Raw genomic sequence first — 24,134 nt, forward strand, 5'->3', positions numbered from 1 at the left:
CATCTATTGAGATAATCATGTGGTTTTTGTCATTGGTTCTGTTTATGTGACGGATTACATTTATTGACTTGCCTATGTTGAACCAACCTTGCATCCCAGGGATGAAGCTGTCTTGATTGTGACGGATAAGCTTTTTGATGTGCTGCTGGATTCTGTCTGACAGTATTTTATTGAAGATTTTCACTTCGATGTTCTTCAGGGATATTGGCCTGAAATTTCGTTTTTTGTTGTGTCTCTGTCAGGTCTTGGTATCAGGATGATGCTGGCCTCATAAAAGGAGTTAGGGAGGATTCCCTCTTTTTCTATTGTTTGGAATAGTTTCAGAAGGAATAGTACCAGCTCCTCTTTGTACCTCTGGTAGAATTCAGCTGTGAATCCATCTGGTCCTGGGCTTTTTTCAGTTGTTAGGCTATTAAATACTGCCTTAATTTCAGAACTTGTTATTGGTCTATTCAGGGATTTGACTTCTTCCTAGTTTAGTCTTGGGAGGGTGTATGTGTCTAGGAATTTATCCATTTCTTCTAGATTTTCTAGTTTATTTGCATAGAGGTGTTTATAGCATTCTCTGATGGTAGTTTGTATTACTGAGGGATCAGTGGTGGTATCCCCTTTACCATTTTTTATTGCATCTATTTGATTCTTCTCTCTTTTCTTCTTTATTAGTCTTGCTAGCGGTCTATCTGTTCTGTTGATCTTTTCAAAAACCAGCGGCTGGATTCATTGATTTTTTGAAGGGTTTTTCGTGTCTCCATCTCCTTCAGTTCTGCTCTGATCTTAGTTATTTCTTGCCTTCTGCTAGCTTTTGAATGTGTTTGCTCTTGCTTCTCTAGTTCTTTTAATTGTGATGTTAGGCTGTCGATTTTAGATCTTTCCTGCTTTCCCTTGTGGGCATTTAGTGCTATAAATTTCCCTCTACACACTGCTTTAAATGTGTCCCAGACATTCTGGTATGTTGTATCTTTGTTCTCATTGGTTTCAAGGAACATCTTTATTTCTGCCTTCATTTTGTCATGTACCCGGTAGTCATTCAGGAGCAGGTTGGTCAGTTTCCGTGTAGTTGTGCAGTTTTGAGTGGGTTTCTTGTTCCTGAGTTCTAATTTGATTGCACTGTGGTCTGAGTGACTGTTTGTTATGATTTCAGTTCTTTTGCATTTGTTGAGGGGTGTTTTACTTCCAATTATGTTGTCAATTTTAGAATAAGTGCCATGTGGAGCTGAGAAGAATGTATATTCTGTTGATTTGAGGTGGAGAGTTCTGTAGATGTCTGTTAGGTTCGCTTGGTCTAGAGCTGAGTTCAAGTCCTGGATATCCTTGTTAATTTTCTGTCTTGTTGATCTTTCTAATATTGACAGTGGGGTGTTAAAGTCTCCTGCTATTATTGTGTGGGAGTCTCTTTGTAGGTCTCTAAGGACTTGCTTTATGAATCTGGGTGCTCCTGTATTGGGTGCATATATATTTAGGATAGTTAGCTCTTCCTGTTGCATTGATCCCTTTACCATTATGTAATGCCCTTCTTTGTCTCTTTCTATCTTTGTTGGTTTAAAGTCTGTTTTATCAGAGACTAGGTTTGCAACCCCTGCTTTATTTTATTTTATTTTATTTACTTATTTATTTATTTTTGCTTTCCATTTGCTTGGGAAATATTTCTCCATCACTTTATTTTGAGTCTATGTGTGTCTTTGCACATTCAATGGGTCTCCTGAATACAGCACACCAATGGTTCTTGACTCTTTATCCAATTTGCCAGTCTGTGTCTTTTAATTGGGGCATTTTGCCCATTTACATTTAAGATTAATATCATTATATGTGAATTTGATCCAGCCATTATGATGCTAACTGGTTATTTTGCCCATTAGTTGGTGCAATATCTTCATAGCGATGATGGTTTTTGCAATTTGGCATGTTTTTGCAGTGGTTGGTATGGGTTGTTCCTTTTCATGTTTAGTGCTTCCCTCAGGAGCTCTTGTAAGGCAGGCCTGGTGGTGACAAAATCTCTCAGCATTTGCTTGTCTGTAAAGGATTTTATTTCTCTTTCACTTATGAAGCTTAGTTTGGCTGGCTATGAAATTCTGGGTTGAAAATTCTTTTCTTTAAAAATGTTGCATATTGGCCCCCACTACTCTTCTGGTTTGTAGGGTTTCTGCTGAGGGATCCACTGTTAGTCTGATGAGCTTTTCTTTGTGGGTAACCTGACCTTCCTCTCTGGCTTCCCGTAACATTTTGTCCTTCGTTTCAACCTTGGTGAATCTTATGATTATGTGTCTTGGGGTTGCTCTTCTCGAGGAGTATCTTTGTGGTGTTCTCTGTATTTCCTGAATTTGAATGTTGGCCTGCCTTGATAGGTTGGGGAAATTCTCCTGGACAATATCCTGAAGAGTGTTTTCCAATTAGGTTCCGTTCTCCTCGTCACTTTCAGGTACATAAATCAAACATAGGTTCGGTCTTTTCATGTAGTCCCATATTTCTTGGATGCTTTGTTAGTTTCTTTTCACTCTTTTTTCTCTAATCTTGTCTTCTCACTTTATTTCATTGAGTTGATCTTCAATGTCCGATATCCTTTCTTCCACTTGATCGATTTGGCTATTGATACTTGTGTATGCTTCACGAAGTTCTCGTGCTGTGTTTTTCAGCTCCGTCAGTCATTTATATTCTTCTTTAAACTGGTTATTCTAGTTAGCAATTCGTTTAACCTTTTTTCAAGATTCTTAGCTTCCTCGCATTGGGTTAGAACATGCTTCTTTAGCTCGGAGGAATTTGTTATTACCCGCCTTCTGAAGCCTACTTCTGTCAATCTGCTCCTTTAGCTCAGAGGAGTTTGTTATTACCCACCTTCTGAAGCCTACTTCTGTCAATTCGTCAAACTCATTCTCCATCCAGTTTTGTTCCCTTGCTGGTGAGGAGTTGTGATCCTTTGGAGGAGGAGAGGCATTCTGGTTTTTGGAATTTTCAGCCTTTTTGCAGTGGTTTCTCCCTATCTTCGTGGATTTATCTACCTTTGGTCTTTGAAGTTGGTGACCATCAGAGGGGGTCTCTGAGTAGATGTCCTTTTTGTTGATGTTGATGCTATTCCTTTCTGTTTGTTAGTTTTCCTTCTGACAGTCAGGCCCTCTGCTGCAGGTTTGCTGGAGTTTGCTGGAGATCCTGTTTGCCTGAGTATCACTGGCAGAAGCTGCAGAACAGCAAAGATTGCTGCCTCTTTTTCCTCTGGAAGCTTTGTCCCAGAGGGGCACCCGCCATATGCCAGCCAGAGCTCTCCTGTCTGAGGTGTCTGTCGGCCCCTACTGGGAGGTATCTCCCAGTCAGGATACATGGGGGTCAGGGATCATGAGGAGGCATTCTGTCCCTTATCAGGGCTTGAACGCTGTGCTGGGAGATCTGCTGCCCTCTTCAGAGCTGCCAGACAGGGACGTTTAAGTCTGCTGAAGCTTGGCCCACAACCGCCCCATCCCTCAGGTGCTCTGTCCCAGGGAGCTGGGGGTTTTAACTATAAGTTCCTAACTGGGGCTGCTGCCATTTTTTCAGAGATGCCCTGCCCAGAGAAGAGGGAATCTAGAGGGGCAGTCTGGCTGCAGAGGCCTTGCTGAACTGCAGTAGGATCCACCCAGTTTGAACTTCCCGGTGGCATTGTTTACACCGTGAAGGTAAAACCACCTACCCAAGCCTCAGCAATGGCAGACACTCCTTCCCCCACCAAGCTCGAGCATCCCAGATCGAGCACAGACTGCTGTGCTGGCCGGGGAGAATTTCAAGCCAGTGGATCTTAGCTTGCTGGGCTCTGTGGTGGTGGGACCCACTGAGCCAGTCCACTTGGCTCCCTTGCTTCAGTCCCCTTTCCAGGGGAGTGAATAGTTCTGTTTCGCTGGTGTTCCAGGCACCACTGGGGTATGAAAGAAAACACTCCTGCAGCTAGCTTGGTGTCTGCCCAAATGGCCGCCCAGCTTTGTGCTGGAAACCCAGGGCCCTGGTGCGTGTAGGCACTGGAGGGAATCTCCTGGTCTGCAGGTTGCGAAGACTGTGGGAAAAGCTCAGTATCTGGGCCAGAGTGCATGGTACAGTCCCTAATGGCTTCCCTTGGCTAGGAGAGAGAGTTCCCTGACCCCTTACACTTGCTGGTTGAGGTGATGCCCCACCCTGCTTCGGCTCAGCCTCCTTGGGCTGTACCCACTGTCCAACCAGTCCCAGTGAGATGAACTGGGTACCTCAGATGGAAATGCAGAAATCACCCACCTTCTGTGTCGATCTCTCTGGGAGGTGCAGACTGGACCTGTTCCTATTTGGCCACCTTGCCAGTGTTCTAATTCTTCTTTTTTTTTGAGACAGGGTCTCACTCTGTCACCTAGGCTGGAGTGCAATGGCATGATCTCAGCTCATTGCAACCTCTGCATCCTGGGCTCAAATGATCCTCCTGCCTCAGCTTCCCAAGTAGCTGGAATTGCAGGCATGCACCAGTATGCCTGGCTAAGTTTTGTATTTTTTGTAGAGATGGGGTTTTGCCATGTTGCCCAAACTGGACTCAAGCAATCTGGATGCCTCGGCCTCCCAAAGTGCTGGGATTACAAGTGTGAGCCACTGCGCCTGGCCTTGAGGTTACATTCTAAACAGGTTTCTTCTCAATTATAGGTCCCTAACCTCCCTTTTCTTAGAGCATCTACTTTAGCAAACTTATAATTGTAAATTCTTACTCTGCCCTTTTGACATATCAATCTTTTAAAAATCCTCTGACAGATTTTATAACCCAGGAATGTCTTCCTAAAGGACCTGGGACCATCTCTGAAATGTAGTCCTCAAGCATGATAGAGCCTCTATTTCCCAGTCTCTGTGGGAGGGTAGGAGCCTAAAACTTCAGTGTGATAACTTGCTTCACTTTATAAAACTATCACCTGTCACGGGATTTGTCTTTTTTTTTTATTATTATACTTTAAGTTTTAGGGTACATGTGCACAATGTGCAGGTTAGTTACATATGTATACATGTGCCATGCTGGTGCGCTGCACCCACTAACTCGTCATCTAGCATTAGGTATATCTCCCAATGCTATCCCTCCCCACTCCACCCACCCCACCACAGTCCCCAGAGTGTGATATTCCCCTTCCTGTGTCCATGTGATCTCATTGTTCAGTTCCCACCTATGAGTGAAGGATTATGTGAGGGGGCCCCCAAAAGATTTTAACAAGGTTCATACAGTATTTTCTTGGTCTCAAATACTTATCTTTGGTCATAATAATGTTGCTATTCCTTTTAGTATAGGAAAAGTGTCTTTCACGTGGGAATTTCACCTTTTGCTTTTAAGAAACAGCATAAAAGTAAAAATGATTTTCTTTTATATTTTCTGACTTTCCAGTGTTTTTACTTAAATAACCAGTATGCCAGAATGTTTGAGGAGTTTGGAAAGAATTTAGCTTAGAGAAAGATAAAGAGGAAGAATTAGAAGAGGAAAGCCCTGGAGAGGAAAGAGTCTCAGCTAGCTTTGAGGTAGTATTTTGTGGTGACGCAATCAATTGAGATTAAGATATAGGAGGCTTATTTGGAGTGCATAATTTTATAGCTGTGTTCTTTTAGTTTAGATTTAAGAATAGAGGTTTTTTTGTTTTGTTTTGTTTTTTCTGAGACAGAGTCTCTGTCGGGTTCACACCATTCTCCTGCCTCAGCCTCTCCGAGTAGCTGGGACTACAGGTGCCCGCCACCATGCCCGGCTAATTTTTTTTTTTTTGTATTTTTAGTAGAGACGGGGTTTCATCGTGGTCTCTATCGCCTGACCTCGTGATCCGCCCGCCTCGGCCTCCCAAAGTGCTGGGATTATAAGCGTGAGCCACCGCGCCTGGCCTAAGAATAGAGTGTTGAATGATCTCTATAATATTTGAACATGCTACCAGCTAGAGTCACAAAAAATATCTTGGCATGCCTTTAAACTTTGAGAATCCATTTGTAACTACATTTATCTAGGTGATTAATTTATCTAGGTGATTTTGTTTAATGCCAAATACACAAAAGCCAATTAAATGCAAGCACTGATTATGAAAAAGCCGAATAAATCCAAGAAGGAAGATCAGCTGCCTTCTCCAACTGAAGGAAAAAATAAAAATGCTTTTGATGAGGCTTCAGCCTGAAAAGAGAAATCCCATCACCCAGACCTCACAGCTGAGCTCTGCCAGGAAGAAAATAGTCCTTCCTAACAGAAGATCTTCCAAGCAGAGGGAGAAAGAGGTCTCTGAAACAAGAAGAGGAAAGATTCCTCCTCATCCAAAATCCAGATAACACAGAAGCAAACTAAAATTTGGAGTTCAGTCCAAGAGATTCACCAGGGAGAAATGAGGCAACCTGCAGAAAAAGTGACCCCACTGTGTGAGTCAGTGAGCCCCAGTGTGAGTACATCATGCCCTAGCTCTGTGGGCCAGTGATTCTCCCCAAGCTGAGTCAGCTTTGGAACCCAGCTTGACACCAAGTAGGTCAAAATCAAAATAAAATATTGGGACAGATCTCTACACTTAAAATATTTTATTAGAGAGGTGAGAATTGTAATTTGGCATAAATGCGAGGACCAGGGGGTCTTTGGTTTGTCTAAAGCACAAAACGAAGGTTGGAGATGTTATTAAAAAAAAACAACAACAAAGTTACGTATTGTTTTGAAAGAAAGTTTATTGGCCCTAGTAAAGTTTTGAGGAGCTGGCAAGTTCTGATTGGTGTGTGACAGTGGTGGGTAAAACCAGTTTTGCAGTCACAGTAGGTTGTTTTAATAGCTGTTAGATAAAACTGGTTTTAGGTTACAACAGGTAGTTTTAGCAACTAGGTTTGTAGAGAATTATATTTTGAAGCAATGCTGTGTGCCCTGAGTGCCTTTTTCCCCTGGCCTGTCTACCCTGTTTTAGTTGCATATGACAAGAATGACCCCATTTGTTTGATCAACTTGTACAGATCAAAGAAAGTTTAATTTTCTTTTGGGTAAAGCCAGTTAGCAAACACATACGGTGTGTGATCTCCTCCTCACCTTCACTCTTAAAGCCCCACCCCCCTTTGTTTTGACAGATTTCAGTTCAGACTGAGTCCTAGTCTCTTTTCCCTATTGTAATAGTCTTGAATAAAATAGCCATTGTCCATATAACATTGTTCAGTGCCATTCTTGCTCTGTCAGGAGGTACTTCATCTTTCCATTTATGTCTTTGTGGACTCCCAGTTTCACATTTTGTTCAATAGGCCATAATCTCCTATTCTGGTACTCAAATTGTTCCATATTGGGTCATGAAAGTCCTGTCTAAGTGCTATGTCTGTCCTTGATCCCCACAATTGTTTTCTGGTTTACAGTTAAAAAAAGAAAGAAAGAAAGAAAGAAAGAAAGAGAGAGAGAGAAAGAAAGAAAGAAAAAAACTCAGCAGAATACCTGTAACCATTTTTTGCCAATCTTTGAAGTGGCTTTTATGTGTAGCCTGACACGTAAGCAGAATTAACCAGACAGGTACAAAACTCGAACTTTGTTTAATTAAAAAAGTACTTTGCTGGTTTTACACTTAATAATGTTATTTTCTATTTTCCCCATTATCTTAGACATTAACTTAGTGTATTCTTTTCCTGCAAATCCATTTTCTTTCGGTGTAACATCTAGCTGTTGCTGCACCATCATCGCTGAGGTAGGCACATCCTTCACTCCCTCTCATGCCAAACCTGCAACAAAGGGATTAACCATTATGTAGTCATGTGATTTCTTCCTTGCCCATGGACACCTTTAAACAAAAATTCTACTTGTCTAAAGTGCTGCAAGGTGTACTATGGCACAGTTCTCTCTTGCTAGTGTTGAGATACCTATACCAATTTGGATCAAAAGAGTTTCTTTTCCAAGAATTTGTACATGTTAAACTGGCATTAGGTTGGTTACATGTAATCAGTGGAGCTATCAGTTCGTATAAACCAATGGTTTTCAATTAGGGGTGATTTTGCTTCCAAACCAAGGGACACTTGACAGTATTTGGATTTTTTTTATTGTCTCAAGCGGAGGCAGAGGTGAGTAGGGTGGATAGTTTATCCAGGGGTGCTGCCAATGCCCTACAATGCACAAAGAAAAGTGCCCCTTTTCCACGACAGAGAGGTATTCAGTACAAAATATCAGTAGTGTTTCTATTGAGAAACTAACATAAACTAAGTGGCTAAGTGACTGAGAGTCACCATTTGGGATGTGTACACACATTTTCCAAATTATAATGCTAAAGATATGAAGTCCAGGACAAACTGCATAACAGTGAAATTGCAAATAAAATCAGATGAAAATGAACGTCAAATTGAAATTGAACTGTAAAAGACATCAGAAAATAGTCAACAAAAAGTTTAAAGAAGAGTCATATAATTGGACAGGATAGTTTATAATCAGAGAAAAGTTTAAATTGGGGTGGGGGGAGTTGTGTATATGAATCTCAGGTCTTTATTTTCAAAATAGCCAACTAGGAGATCTGTTCCCTTACATCTTAATTTCCAACCTTCATGGTTGCCTCCTTACATGAATCTCAATATATATTCAATCCCCCCTCCATCTTTCTAACATGTGCAAAACTCTTGGGCTCTAGAGAAATTTAGCTAAAGCATAAGTCCTAGAGAAGGCTGCACTATCTAAATTTAAGTGATCCCAGAAAAAAATAAACTCACGATTTGGTAAATGTAGCTCCATCTACCCATTGTCCTGTTCGATTTTTTGCCATCTTCAGTCCAATCCAGTGATCAGAACTGCATTTATACCGCCTAAGAAAATTCTTTAGAGACAAAATTAATTTCAAAATCATACATGCCAATTTTTATGACAACCTACTGTGTACCTCTTGTTTCGTAGGTTGTGAAGTGCAAGGCAACAATTGTTCAACTCCTGGCCTCACTAGAAAATAGCTATGGAGTTTTGAAAAAGTACTTTATTTTTCCTCTGACCTTCAGTTTTTTTTGTGAAACAAATATGTTAGATACATTTTCTTTAGATATGATTCCAAATTGATAAATGTTCAATTTGAATATCTATTCCTTCACAATTTTCAAACTGTAAGCTCCTAGAAAGACAAGTTTGAAATTGAGCTCTCGCACAGCATTTCCAATTACCACATATTTATTACACTATTTGTCCACTTCCCAGTAAATAGTAGTAGCTTCATTTTAGTGTTATGTTTTACTTCAGTTTATCTTCCCAAACTACATAGGTAAATACACACACATACACATCCTCATATATCCAGTTTCTTTAGAACCTAATTATCAAATTTTATTTTTCTGCTGAACATTTAAATTTCCAAATACATCATTCAGAAATAAATACAATGCTTTTTTTCCTGACATTTCTTCTTCTGATGCATTGTTTAACTTACCTCGACCTTGCTTAACCCTCGACCTTTTTCTTTAATCATAGAATTACATGAGAAAGTCCTTGAGGCTACTCTGCTACTAAATAGCTTGGAAACTATATTCACACTGTATCACTCTACTTTTCAATTTAAGAGAAATATAAAGGAGGTAGGCCAGATCACACCACTATGGTCAAATCCTATCTACCCCAACAGTGACACCTGTGACTTTTGACATTTCAATACACTATCTTCACAGCATTGCATAAACTAATTTGAAAAAAATAATTAGTTGGGCTAAGTTTTGGCTTTACAAATAAACAGATTAATAAAAACATTGTCCTACATTCAAAGGCCTTCATTTACAGTGAGGAAAATAATGTAAACATAATGTTAGAAAATATTCTACTAGACATGGAAAAGTTATCAGTGTGATCAATACAATGTGAAATTGGAATTTACGGAAAAAAATATGAGTTTTTAAGGGAAACTTTGACACAGTATGTGCTCTAAGGGAAGAGTAGAATATTCCGTGTAAATGCAGACGGCCAAGGAGAAGAGGGTAATTCATAGTCTAGACTCAGGAAAGGCTTCAGGAGAGAGCTTGACTGGTCTTGGTGACAGAGAACTGGGAGATGTGTTTCCTAGTCCTGCTCTATGAAAAATGTTAACATTATTTGCTCAATAAAAGCTTGCCCCATTTTAGCCCCTTGTTAGAAGTGCAATAATTCTAAATAGGTGGAAATAGATATAAAAATATTTTGTAAGACAAACTTTATCTCATATTATTTTGTAATTAAAATGCACATTTAAATTAAACTATTTTAAATAATCGATTACAATTCTTATGTAAATTTCTTCTCCACTCCACAGACAGCTTTACTTCATTCTGTTTGTCACTTAAATTTTGCCAGTGTATGTAGTATATAATAGTCATCCATGGTCTTCAAAATATATCAGGATATTTTATGATCAGTATTTTTTCTTCATCCAAACAGTACAAGCATTCTTCCCTGATACATTTGAAGATTTCTCTTAAGTTCAAAACTAATTATTTTTATGTACTTCTGGTCTTCACATTCCATGATCCTCACTATTTATTTAGTCAATCTTTGCTGACAATATTCCTATAGTGGACACATTTATTTTAATATTGATTGTCTTTACATTTCTTCATCTTTCATTTTATTAACACTCATTATTTTTCCATCTCACTGCTAGTTTAGCTTTCTTTCCCCCAAGAGGAACTGTAAGGAACAGTCAGAGTGTTTCTCAGAATGTTCATTTTCAAAAGTCTTGCAAAATTCAGCAGTGACGTTATTGACTACAGAAGCCCTTCCTATGATATTAAACTTGCACCTTAATTCTTGATTTGCAGTATCTACTCCTAATCCATCTAGCTTTCAACATTTTACTACCTTTTTTTCTTGCAAAATAGTTTTGTTTCCTTTCACTGACCTATAAATTGGCTCTGCCTGATTCACATGCATTTAAATTGGAACCAATCTTCAGGCAGATTGAGTAAATAAACTTTGTTCACCACACGGGTAACACACAATTGTCTTTTAACAGTGTTGACTCTTGTGCTATTCTGCTTTTCATTGAAACACTTCTCAACAGCAAATTATTTGCAAAAAATATTTTTAATCAAGTTATATTACCTCTTATAATTTCTTTTCATTCTTAAAGAGACCAAACAAAGGTAAGTATGTTTACAATATAAATGACTAGGGGAAAGAACAAATTTCATGAATGTAGAGGTGCAGTTTTTCAATCCCTTGTTAAAGTTCTTGGAGAGCCTCTTTACTCATAGAGATTTTGTCATGTAAATCAAAATTTATTCAACAAGGATCCATTAGACTTTTCATTTGTACCTGCTTTGTGCATAATGCTAAGGATAAAATTTCACAGAAGACATGGTATCTGCTCACTGAAAACTTACACTCCGGTCTAGGAGGAAATTTTGATTTTCCTCTCTATTGCATTACTGGTAGAGAGTGTTCTAATGGAAGCTGCCACGGGACCTCAGAGACAGGCAGCAAAACAAAATGGAGAAGTCAGAGCAAAGTTTCTCTCAGGAAGTAGAATGCAGAATCCCCTCCTTCCTCAGACAATTCTCCTTTCTTGGTGGAGTATTGGCTCTTAAAACGTTTTCAAACATTATCAAGCTCTTCTGTGTACACTCTTTAAAATATAAAGATAGGTATTAAGTCTACTACTTGATGTTAGTCTTACATTCTTCAAACAAAGCATCACTAGGTGTTTCACCTTTATGTCACATGGCATACTCTGAACATCTTCAATTTTCTGCATAGATAGGCATGAGTGAAAAGACTTCAAGATTATAATGGTGTTTGAATATTTCTAATGCTCCGACTCAAGAAAATTCACAAAGAATGTATATTAAATTACTTACCATTTCTTCTATGTTGTCAATTATAGTTAGGTCGGCATGTTGAGTGGAACAGTTGTATTTACTTGAATTCCAATCTCCTTCTTCTTTAGAGAAATAATAGCATTTGTTTTGGAAACCAATCCAATCATAGGGGCATAAACTCTGAGAATCTCGAGTTAGTTTAACTGGAAATGAGACAAATATATATCTTAAGTACCATATAGAATAATATGCTACTGTGTTTTGAGATCACTGGACACAGGTTTTTGATGTAAAAGATTATGGTCACTATGAAAGTTGTATATCTATTATATGATAAGTTGAAAAAATTTTATGTCTTTGTCATGTTAGGTCAAATGACAGTAGTTTAAGATTTATCAGGGCATTTCTTTCAACTTCAACTTCAGTGATACGTAGGCCTTCCAGGAGCCAACAGAATTATTCTACTTGTGTAGGTTACCGTTACCATTTCTAGGTAAATGAATTAAAAGGAAATCCTAGCATTACCTAAGAGTAATACAAGTAATAATTTGTATTAGTCACTAATGAATCTAAACACATGATTTAATCTACAAAGAAGCAACAAAAATAATAAAGCAAAATACAAAATAAGTTGGACTGCTTATTGTCAGCTAGGAATCACCATCACTGTATAGCTCCGGTTTAGCCAATGAATGGAACTAACATGAGATTTGGAAGGTGGAAGTAAAGCAGAAGATATAATTCCTGGAGACCATGAGCATAGGAACTTCACAGGTCTTTCCATGTGTTCCCCTGTTGCAGTCTTGGCAGCTAGATATCTTAGCTTCTTAGACTTTCCTCCAAATGCATGAGTGCATTATGCCAATATTATTAGTGACCATTTCTCCTCCAGCTTGTAGCACAGCCCCAGCCTTGAGCTATGCATCACTTCCAGATCTTCCCACATTCATGTTATCCCTAATTTCTACATAAAAGCCTTATTCTCATAATATGTGTTTGTATTTTGGAACACACCCAGACTGAATCAGTTTTTGGCACCAAACATGATTCTAAGGAAACAGAACCTTGAGGATGAGATATGGTGTTAGTTTTTCAATATCATTCACTTTAAAGGCATTGATCCAACTACCAGTTATAAATAGAATGCTGATGGCAGTGGAGCATAGTAGCAAAATAATCAGTTAAATTATCACCTATAGTCATCTGCTGCCAAGAGTCTATAGAAGATAAAATTTTATATACATACACAGTGTGTATATATATATGTATATAGGTATGTGTACATATAAGGGTGTATATATACATATACACACATATGTGTATATATCTCTCTCATGTACTGTCTAATATAAATTAGTGTTTGTGTTACTCTTAGATAATGCTAGGATTTCATTATAGTTCATTTACCCAGAAATGGTAAGGATGACCTTTACAAATAGAATAATTCTGGTGCCTTCAGGAAGATATATCACTGAAGTTGAAGTTGAAAGGAATATAAATGCCCTAATAAATCCTAAACTACTGTCATCTGACCTAACATGACAAGACATAAATTTTTTTCAACCTGTTATATGATATACAAATTTTGCTGTGACCATAATCTTTTACATCAAAATCCTGTGTGTCTTCAATGTTCTTTCTCAAAACACAGTAGCATCCAAACTTATGGGATTCAACTAAACTTGTGGGACACAGCAACTCCCTTAAAGCTTACAGGAAAATTTATTGGCTTAAGATTATGTTTTAGAAATGATGAAAGACTTTTTGAAAAGATAATTATCCTACCTTACAAAGTTAATAATAGTGATAAATTAAAACCAAAGTAGAAAGACACAATTTAGAAAACAAAAAGAACAGAAATCAATTGAATAAAAAATTAATGCCAAATAGAAGAAAAGTTTAAAGTCATAAGATGACTTTTGTTGAATACTCTAAAACAGGATTGACCACTAGGAAAACTGATTTTAAAAAATGTAACTGTGAGAGATAAAAACACAAATTAGCAACACAAAGAATGAAAAAGTAGAGAAATTTCTAGAAGAACACAATTTAACACAACTGACAAGATAAAAGCAGCATATCTAAATAACACTATATCTAGTTAAAAAATTAAATCTTTAACTTAAAAAATTGCACAAAAAGAAATCTCCCTGTCCAGATGGCTTCAATTAGAAATACTTCTAATCGTTTAGGAAAGGCATAACACCAACGTTATACACACTCTTTCAGAAAATAGGATAGGAGGGAATACTTTCCAACCAAATTTTAGAAGCCATCATAATCACATCAATACCTGATAATAGTATTGAAAGAAAGAGAAACTATAGGTAGATCTTTTATGAAGACGTAGGATATATGTGCATATATCTTAAAATACTATTCAGCTTAATTGAAGAATGTTAAAAGGTTAATAGGTTATGATCAAGTTGAATCTATCACAGAAATTGAAGATTATCTTATCTCAATATTACAAAATCTGTGTAGTTCTACATATTAGCAGAGAAAAGAAAGTATCTCAATAGATCAAGATAAAGCATTTGATATTTTAAATTAAATTAAAGGGAAGTAAATAAAACACCTTTAATCTGATTAAGAATATCTGCAAATACTACTACTAAATTGGGAAATATTAAAAAAATTTTACTGATTTAAGAATGAGACAAACATGTAAGCTGTTACTACTTATACTCAACCTTATACTGGAAGTTATAGCCAGTAAAATAAGAGAATACAATGAATAAAAAAGGCATAAGGTTTCCAACAGAATAGGTAAAACAATTATTATTTTCAGATAATGTAAATTTTTACATAGAACTTGCAAAAGAAACTGAAGAAAATTTATGAAAATGAATAGTTAACTATAGCAAATTTGTTATATGAGGCTTATATAGGTATATATTAAATTTATATAGATAATTTTTATAGGCCAGCAAGAGACTAAATAGGACAATAGTGTTAATGAAAATACTTCTATGCTAGTTACAATTGCATTATAGCGCATTGAGTCTTTAAAAAATTCTTAAAAGGATGTGTGTGAAATCTATTCTGAAAACTAAAAAATTGCTGGCAGAAATTACGGAACACCGAATCAATATTTTAAATGTATGATTCAATATTAAGATAATGATTCCATGAAAATTGACTATGGTTTAATGCAATCTCAATCAAAATTACAGATAATTTATATGGCAGCTTAAAGGATCTAAAATGCTCCAGGTAAACTTGAAGAATAAAAATAAAACTTTTAAAACATTTAAACAACCAGACATCAAGACTTAATTATAAACCAACAGTATTGAGACAGAATGATATAGATACAAAGATAGATAAAATAGAGTAAATTAATGTAATAAAATTTTAGCAAAAATGACCTTCACCTACACAGTTGATTGATGACAAAGACCAACTGCAGTTGAGTAGGGAAAGTATAGTCTTTTTAATAAGTTATTTCAGGTTGAAAGATTAACTAAATGGGAAATAATGCATCCTAATATCTATCTCCTAAAATTTATAAAAATCAACTTCAAGAGGACTATATTTTGGAAAGTGAAAGGAAAATAGAAACCCTACAAAAATATTTTTATGTCTTTGAAGTAAAGTGAATTTCTTAGAATGAAAAATATAGTGACAATAGAGAAAGACACAATTACACTACTTTAAAATTCAGAAGCTCTGTCGATTGAAAGACATGACACAGAGGGTAAACTTCAGCTTCATAGTTAAAGAAGATATTTGCAATACCTATAAACTACAAAGAGTCTCATCTAGAATATTAAACAACTCTTATGAACCAAGCAGAAAAAGAGAGCTAACTTACTAAAATATGGGGAAAGTATTGAAACATTCCCATCACAAAATATTACACCTAAATAAACAACAATTATGAAGGTACTGAACAGTATTGATCATCAGAAAAACGTCAATTAAAGCCCAAATCGGGTAACAACATGCACTCACTGGAATGGCAAAAATTGATAAAACCAACAATAAAGTATTGACATGGCATGGAGCAATTGGAATTCTCATATACTTCTGCTGAGATTATCTACATTTTTGGTAAAATACACTTAAGCTAATCTATGCGTATTCTGTGCTTAATAATTCTTCTTATATCTCAAGTTATTTCCAGTATTCATTAAAAGACAAAAATATAAAATTATACAGTTGTTCACAACCACCCAATTTGCAATAGTCAAAATGTAACACGATCCAAATGTTCATCAAAAGTGATACATAGCAGTGAATGCACTATACTAAACATCCGCTAATACAGCCTGAGGCCAACTCAGCTCACCTTCTGTTTTTGTACAACCACCAGGTAAAAATAATTTTTACATTTTAAAAAGAAATAAAGTAATCAAAATAATTAAAAATGAACAATATTTTGTGACATATAAAATTTTATAATATTTACATTTCCATGTTCAATTTTATTGACACACAGCCATGGTCAATGTCTATGCATTTTCTATGACTGTGTTTCTATGAAAAATTAAGTAGTTGCAGCAGAGACTGTATGGCTAACAAAGCATAAAATATTTACTATCTGGGTCTTTTTATAAAAAAAATTTCAACCTTTTTCCATAATAGTGAGTTAATGAACTTCTGCTACCTATGATGACATTGAAAAATCACACAAGCATAATGTTGAATAAAAGGGAAAAGATACAAAGATACATGCAAATTGCATGACTGTATTTATGATACATGCAAATTGTATATTGTATTTTATATGTATTTAAATTTGATTATATTTATATAAAATTTTTTAGTAGGCAAAACTAAGCTATAGCAATAGAAGTCAAGATAGTGATTAACATAGGCAAGAAAGTGTTGAATAGAAGTGAGATTATCAGGGTGAATAATTTTACCACAATAATTTTGGTATCTCTGATGCCTTACATAGGTCATGTAATTAATAAAATTTATTCATTTGTACCAATTAAATGTTATCATGTATAATGGGAAGATAATGAGATACTGAGAAAAGATCATGACTGAGACAGAAAGGAATAGGATCACACATAGAAAGCCATGAAAAATAAAATGAAGGATGTAACTTACCTATCAGAGTAATAATATTAGTTGTTATTAAAACACCAACAATTATAAAACACTTTTTATGTTTGGTCATCATACCTGAAAAATAAAAATAAAGACATTTAGGAGACTTCTGGCTCCAAAATGATGGCATAAAAGTAAGTTGGCTTTAATGTCCCCCACAGAAAACAACAACAAAATATTAGTGCTGTGATTATCCCCAGCAATATCCTAGAATTCAAATATGAGAAGAAGACAATTCCTGGAGCCACAGGAAAGTGAAAAACCAACAAAAAACTCCATACAGATAATAAGAGAATTAGACTTCCATATCCATGAGGACTCTCCCTGCAATCTTTCCGGTACCCAAGGGCATGGAAACATCATTTCTATACTGGAAAAAGTGAGATCAAGATGGATAACCAGCTTCCCCACCAGCTTGAGTTTCCTGGCAGGAAACTTGCCCCTGCCTTAACACTTGGGAAGCATCGGGGTGCCTGAACGAGGACAGGCAGAGACAAAGTGGGGAGGCAGGACTACCATCCCCAATACCAGAAACTGTGCTCTGTTACTTGGCCAAAGGAGATGTCAACTTAGAGTGGCTGTCGAGCAGCATCATGGTATAGGAGGTTTGTTGCACAGGTCCCCTGGGCTGGAACACCTCGTCAGTCTTCCCACACTACTGGGATATCCCCTTTGGAAGCACCCTCATTTGGTATGAGTGGCACTCTAATTGTTTACTAGAACCAAGGCAAACCTGGGTTAAGGCACCATGTAGTCATAACAAGGAGGCCGAAACCTAGCTGCCGCCCCCCACCCCCAAAAAAATCGACAGGTAAATTACAAGGAATATTTAAACAAACATATTCAATGTAAACCAAAACAAGCCATATAAAATCCTTCAACACAAAGACATAGATGCATATCCATAAGAAACAACAGCAAACAGGGAACTGCGATACCCCTAAATGGACAAAGTCGGAATCAGAGACAGATCTTAATGAAATGGCAATATGTGAGCACTTGTACCAAGAATTCAAAATAGTAGTTTTAAGAAAACTCACTGGTCTCTAAAATAACACAAAAAACAATTCAGAAATATATCAGAGGAATTTAACAAAGGGATTGAAATAATTTTTAAAAATCAAAAAGTGATATTGGAACTGAAAAATACATTTGCTGAACCGAAAATTTTATTAGCGGCTCTCAAAAGAGAATGGATCAAGAAGAAGAAATAATCGGTGAGCATGAGGATGGGCTTTTGAAAATACACAAGGAAAGGAGAAAAAAAGAATAAAAAGGAAGGAAGAATGCCAACATCTTGTAGAAAATTACTGCAAAAGACCATATCTAAGAATTATTGGTGTTTAAGAGAGAGTCAAACCAGAGCAAGAGGTAGAAAGCTTATTCAAAGAAATAATAACAGAAAGTATTACAAAGCTTGAGAAAGAGATAAAGATTCAGGCAGATAAAGGTCAGAGAACACCAAACAGATTCCGACCCCAACAAGACTACCCCTAGGCATAGAATAATCAAACTCTCAAAGGTCAAGGAAAAAGAGAGGATCCTAAAATCAGCAAGAGAAGAGAAGCAAATAATATTTAAAGGAGCTCCAATTTATCTGATGATAGACGTCTCAGTGGAAACCATACAGACCAAGAGAAAAGTGATGACATTTTTTAAGTGCTGAAAAAAAAAAAAAACCCTGCCATCTAAGAATACCATATCCTGCAAAGCTGACCTTCAAATATGAAGAAGAGACAATGTTTCCCAGACAAACAAAAACTGAGAGAATTCACCACCACCAGACATATCTTATAAGAAATGCTAAAGGGAGTTCTTCAACCAAAAAGAAAAAAACACACGAACAGAAAACAGCTGAATATCTAAAATACACTGATAAAATTAAGTGTATGCACAAACCCAGAATACTCTAATACTGTAATTGTGGTGCACAATCTTCTCATATCCCTAGTAATGAAGACTGGAAGATAAATCTATCAAGAACAATGATAACTGCAGAAACCAGTTAAGAGGTAAGCAATAAAAATATGTGAATTGGGAAAACTAAATTAAAAATGTGTGAGGGTGGAGTAAAAGTGTTTTTTTCCTTTGTTGCTATTCTTTGTGATATAAGTTGTTATCTCTTTAAAATAACTTGTTATATCTATAAGATTTTTTATAAGCCTCATAGTAATCACAATGCAAAACCTATAGTAGAGTCATTAAAAATAAAAAGCAACTAATTAATATATACCACCAGAGAAAATTATATAACCCCAAAGAATGACAGTAAGAAAAGAAAAAAGAGAGAAATTTAAAAACAACCATAAAACAAGCAACAAAACAGCCCCAGAAAATCCTTACTTAACAATAACATGGAATTTAAATGAACTCAACTCTCCAATTAAAAGACATAAAGTGCAGGCCGGGTGCAGTGGCTCACGCCTGTAATCCCAGAATTTTGGGAGGCCAAGGCAGGCAGATCATTTGAGGTCAGGAGCTCAAGACTAGCCTGTCCAACATAACGAAACCACATTTCTACTAAAAATACAAAACTTAGCTTGGTGTGGTGGTGTATGCCTGTGATCCTGGCTACTCAGGAGGCTGAGGCAGGAGAGTCGCTTGAATCCAGGAGTTGGAGGCTGCAGTGATCTGAGATCATGCCACTCCACTCCAGCCTGGGCAATAAAGCAAGACTCTCTCAAAAAAAAAAAAAAAAAAAAAGCATAAAGTTAAAGTGGCTGACTTGGTAAAGAGAAAACCCTAACTGTATGCAGCCTACAGGAAATCTGCTTCACCTATAAAGACACACAGAGAATGAAAGTGAAGGGGATGAACAAAGATATTCCATGCAAATAGAAACCAAAAAAGCCGGAGCAGCTATACTTATATCAGATAAAATAGATTACAAAACTTTAAAAGACTACTTTAAAAAGAGACAAAGGTTACTATATAATGCTAAAGAGGTCAATTCAGCAAGAGGATATGACAGTTCTAAAAATCTATGGACCCAACACCAGATCTCCCAAGTATATAAAGCAAACATTCATTGATCTAAAGGGAGAGATAGACTGCAATGCAATAATATTGGGGGACTTTAACTCCTCACCCTGAGTAATGGACAGATAATCTAAACAGGAAATCAACAAGGAATATTGGAGTTATACTGCACACTTTACCAAATATATCCAACTGACACGTACAGAAGCACTGCTGCAGAATACTCATTATTTTTATCAGTACATGGAGCATTCTCCAGAACAGACCACATTGTAGGCCAAAAAACAAGTCTCAATAAATTAAAAAAAGTAGAAATCTAATCAAGTATCTTTTCTGACCACAATGGGATGAAACTAGAAGTCAATAACTTGAGAAACCTCAGAAACTGCACAAACATGAAAATTAAATAATGTGCTCCTTAACGACCAAAGAGTCAATGTTGAAATTAAGAAAATTTTAAAAATTTCTTGAAACAAATGAAAATGGAAGCACAATAAACTAAAATCTGTGGAATGCAGAAAAGCAGTACAAAGAAGGAAGTTTATAGTAATAAATGCCTTTAAAAAAAGGTAAAAAGACTTCAGATAAATAACCTAATGATGAACTTAAAGGATTTGTAAGAGCAAGAACAAACCAAACCCCAAATTAGTAGAAAAAAGAAGTGTTAAAAAATCAAGCTCTTTCTGATGAGGTTTCTTATCTTTCATATATAACCTTATTAATATCATGAATTATTTATTAATTTTCTTTAAACCTCAGGTATCGAAAAGACAGGAAGTTTTTTCTCTGTTTTCAATGCCATGAATCAAGTAAATATGTCAGTATGTCATTCCGTTTTTCTCCCCATGAATTGGCATAATGTAAAAATATAGATGTTAGAGATATCATGATTTCAAAATCTTGATCAAACCTTTGTGGCATGTAATTGTATTTTCTTACCCCCATTTGATCCTATACTCTTCATCCATTAACTAGTACCACTTCTATTTTTTTTTAAAGAGCATATGTGTGTTGTGTTTTTAGAAAGTATAGTTACAACAGGAAGTAAATAAAAGGTAACTTTTGCTATTATTTTTTTCTTGTGTTATAGTTGTCCTGTTTTTAAATATTTTAATTATTTTGTGTGTGTTAAGAGTGTAAAGATTATTTACATTTGCAGCAAGTGGAAGTATTTTTTGAGTCAATTTCATATCTGTTATTTGAAGGAGGTAGTCAGACCATTTTGATATTCTTTCTTCCAGAATGACTGTTGAAAAGAAAACCCTAAGCTGCTTAAATCAATGGCCTTTTCAATTAAAAAAAAATCTAGCTTATTGAAGTAATGTTTCTGAAAATTGTGAAGGGATTTTAAAAAGAGGAAATAACTTCGAGCTAACAGGTAGAGAGAAGGGCAATGCACATCCTGACAATATGAGAAATGACAATTTGCAGATACAGCGGAAAATAGGAGCCCTTTCCATTGCAAAGTTGGCAAGGTATTAGAGTATAAGGACTTGGTGGTGTATACAGAGTTGGTAGATTTTACGTACAGATGACCCCAGCTTCAAAAAAGATGATCGTACTTTAAATGTGGCAAAGAAACAGTGTGGCTTTTGTTATGAGTTCAGCACAAAATAGCAGAGCTAGACCCGAAGAGGTCATTTATATTGGAACATGGTCTTCTCAGGTGTAATCAGTGGAAACTGATGAATGGAGACCATTATAACACTTTGGTGTCTTATACAACCTGGGAAACTTCATATAACCTTGGAAGAAATCTCTCACTCTCAATACCACCAAATGACAGAAAGTAAGTAAACTGTCCTGTCCATTCAGTGGGATGGAGACTTGAAGTAACATTTAATTTTATTTAAATAACTAATGAATTCAACATTTATTGCATGTCTGAATATGTAGGTACAAATTTAAACCTATTATGTGTTCATTCTCTACTTAATCTATATCGTGAACCCTGAAATCTAGCTTTTTACACTCAGCATAAGTTGTTTTCAGTTGTTTTTAATTTCCCAGAATCTTTTCATTGTTACTGAATTCTCAATACTTATTTAGGAGGCTGTAATTATTTACATGAGTTATCAGAAAAATTAGTGGCATTGGTAGAATGTGGTTAGCATAGCTGCCTTTCAAACAAATTAAAAAATTGTGATCTCCCACGATGAAGCTGATATCGAAACATGAATTTCAAAGTTGTTGAGCCTTCTTAACGTTTGATGAGGCTATGCTTAAAAGGACACTTCCCCAGACAGTTCGAGAACAATGGATTTAATTAACAGTGTAACTAAAATAGTTCTATATTTAAATGTATAATCTAAACAGTTAAGGACTGCAATTGTTTTCCCCATAGAAAAGTTTCAGTGACTCAACTGTTTTCTGTTTGATTCTGCTCTCTAAGGAAAGATAAGAAAGATGCAGAGTGACCAATGCATTTAAAATCAAACAGAATATTATTTTTCTTGGCTAATAGCTATAGAAAAAAATCATAAAATACTGATAAGCAGAGCAAATAAAATATTTGTTAAAATGTATATAAAAACTGACTGAATTATATCACACTGCCCTAAATTACCGCTATTAAAACGATGTTCATAATTTCAGATATATATGTATCTATAATATATACAATATTATACTGAATATATTATTCAGTAACTTTTAAAATATATTCATATGTAATATGATATATAATATTGTATTATATAATGTATTTATATACAAATGTATAAATTTATACAATTGATTGAAAGTAGAAAATAACACTGGTTTTACTAGTGGCTGGAAGGCCTTCTTAAAACTTTTGATTAAAATGATATTTTATGCTACCATCAAATATTGATCTCATTCCCCGCAAACCTGTTTTATCTAACTTTAGGCAGAATTATAAAACCGGTTAAAATACGGGAGGAAGGATAAAGTGTGCATTCTATTGTACCACAGCAATAATTTTTTTGACCGTAGCATACGCTGGTAGGTTGACATTTAGTTAAACGGGAAATGCTTAAAGCTCATCACAGTCCCTAAATCTCTAAATCATAGATCGTTGTATTGAATGCATTTAGTTTCAGCCTTTTCTCTTTCAAATATTTTGACATAAATAAACCCTGTTGAAATCTCAAAGATGTAGCTTGGATCTTATATATTCCGAACTTGCTATTTAATAAATCCAATGTTACCAGGTTGTTTCATAGTGTATTTTTTAGAACATTTTCTTTCCTTATCCTTCTTAGGGTTGGTAAAGACATCTCCATGGATATCGGAGTACTAGCAATTCCTTAGTAAGAGTAGGAAAGGGATATATTCTTTCCGTTAAGTACTCCTAAAGCCCGGAGTATCTTTACACCATCCAATAAAGCAATCTTTAAAAATATTAGAACTATTGGCTAAATTTATCATATTATGTATGCATTCTGAGAACTGTATGAGTATCTGGATCATATCTATCATCTTCTCAAGTATTTGTTTTATAAAATACTTAGTAAAAATGAAACTAAATCTTGAGCAGTTTTAAGTCATGGTTAATCCTTCTCCATTGTAATTCAAATAATGTAAAGTAAGTCTGAATTTATTAGGACAAAACAGTCATATGCAAATCTCAATCTTGTTATAAGAAGGAATTTTCTAGTTTCACAAAAGAAACCACAAAATTTAATTCTTTTCTCGAAGGCTTTAACATTCTGCATCACAATTTCAATAAATAACGGTCATTCTAAACAAACAAAAATGTTCTTACCGTGCTTCTTTTAATCAGCGTTTTGATTTTCTGCTAGCAGCTTTGTGTCATGTCTTGCAGAAACTCTCTTCAAAGTTGTAACTTTATTTAACTTTAATATAAAAATGTTACTCTTGTTTTTACAGCACAGCTCCAAACTAGAGGTATACCACTTTTGAAGAGTAACTCAAAGTATAAATAGCATTTTGCAAACTGGAAGTAACCATGTGACTATCTATTAGTCATACTGTTGTTTATTACAATTTTCTTCTCGTCAAAAAAGAAAGCTTGCCAAGGAGGAAGGAAGTTTGTGATATAACAATTTAAAGCTGAAGAATAAACACATATTTTCTTACTTTCTCAACTGGGATTCTCATCTGAACCACAGAACACGAAATTGCTCAAGTGGCTGTTTTTCTGATTCATCCAGGAGTGGTACTTAACCACGTATCCTTCCAGAACTGTAGGAGAGGCTGATACTAATTAATTCAACAGCATTCTTTAGGACATTACTGCTTTCTTATCCTGTGTTAAGAAAGATCACCTTAAAAGCGATAGAATCAAAGAAAAAGCAATGGTTTAAACTTTGGCTACTGAAAGAAAAACAAAAACTATTATCTCTCTCTCAAAGACAAATGCGTGCAAAGTCACACGTGTGGGTGTGAGCACACACACAAACACACACAAAGACACACAGAGGGAA

At 35.7% G+C, this 24,134-nt stretch overlaps 1 protein-coding gene across 1 annotated transcript; it reads right to left on the bottom strand.

The window, feature by feature from the left end:
• Positions 1-6,616: 6,616 nt before the first annotated feature.
• CLEC2B (C-type lectin domain family 2 member B) lies at positions 6,617-23,602 on the bottom strand. The gene is made up of 5 exons (NM_005127.3): positions 23,453-23,602; positions 16,747-16,821; positions 11,722-11,885; positions 8,629-8,732; positions 6,617-7,656 (listed from the first exon to the last, which is right to left on the bottom strand). The coding sequence occupies exons 2-5, from the start codon at positions 16,817-16,819 to the stop codon at positions 7,548-7,550; spliced, it is 450 nt and encodes a 149-aa protein (NP_005118.2). The 5' UTR covers positions 16,820-16,821; positions 23,453-23,602; the 3' UTR covers positions 6,617-7,547.
• Positions 23,603-24,134: the final 532 nt, after the last annotated feature.

The sequence above is a fragment of the Homo sapiens genome, chromosome 12, assembly GCF_000001405.40.
Source record: "Homo sapiens chromosome 12, GRCh38.p14 Primary Assembly".
Classification (NCBI taxonomy): Eukaryota; Metazoa; Chordata; class Mammalia; order Primates; family Hominidae; genus Homo; species Homo sapiens.

Coding starts and splice junctions, on each gene's coding strand:
- CLEC2B (NM_005127.3), bottom strand. CDS start 16,819: ATGATGACCAAACATAAAAAGTGTTTTATAATTGTTGGTGTTTTAATA. Junction 11,886..16,746: donor TAATATTATTACTCTGATAG/GTAAGTTACATC, acceptor TCTCATTTCCAG/TTAAACTAACTCGAGATTCT. Junction 7,657..8,628: donor GGAGCTACATTTACCAAATC/GTGAGTTTATTT, acceptor CCTTTGTTGCAG/GTTTGGCATGAGAGGGAGTG.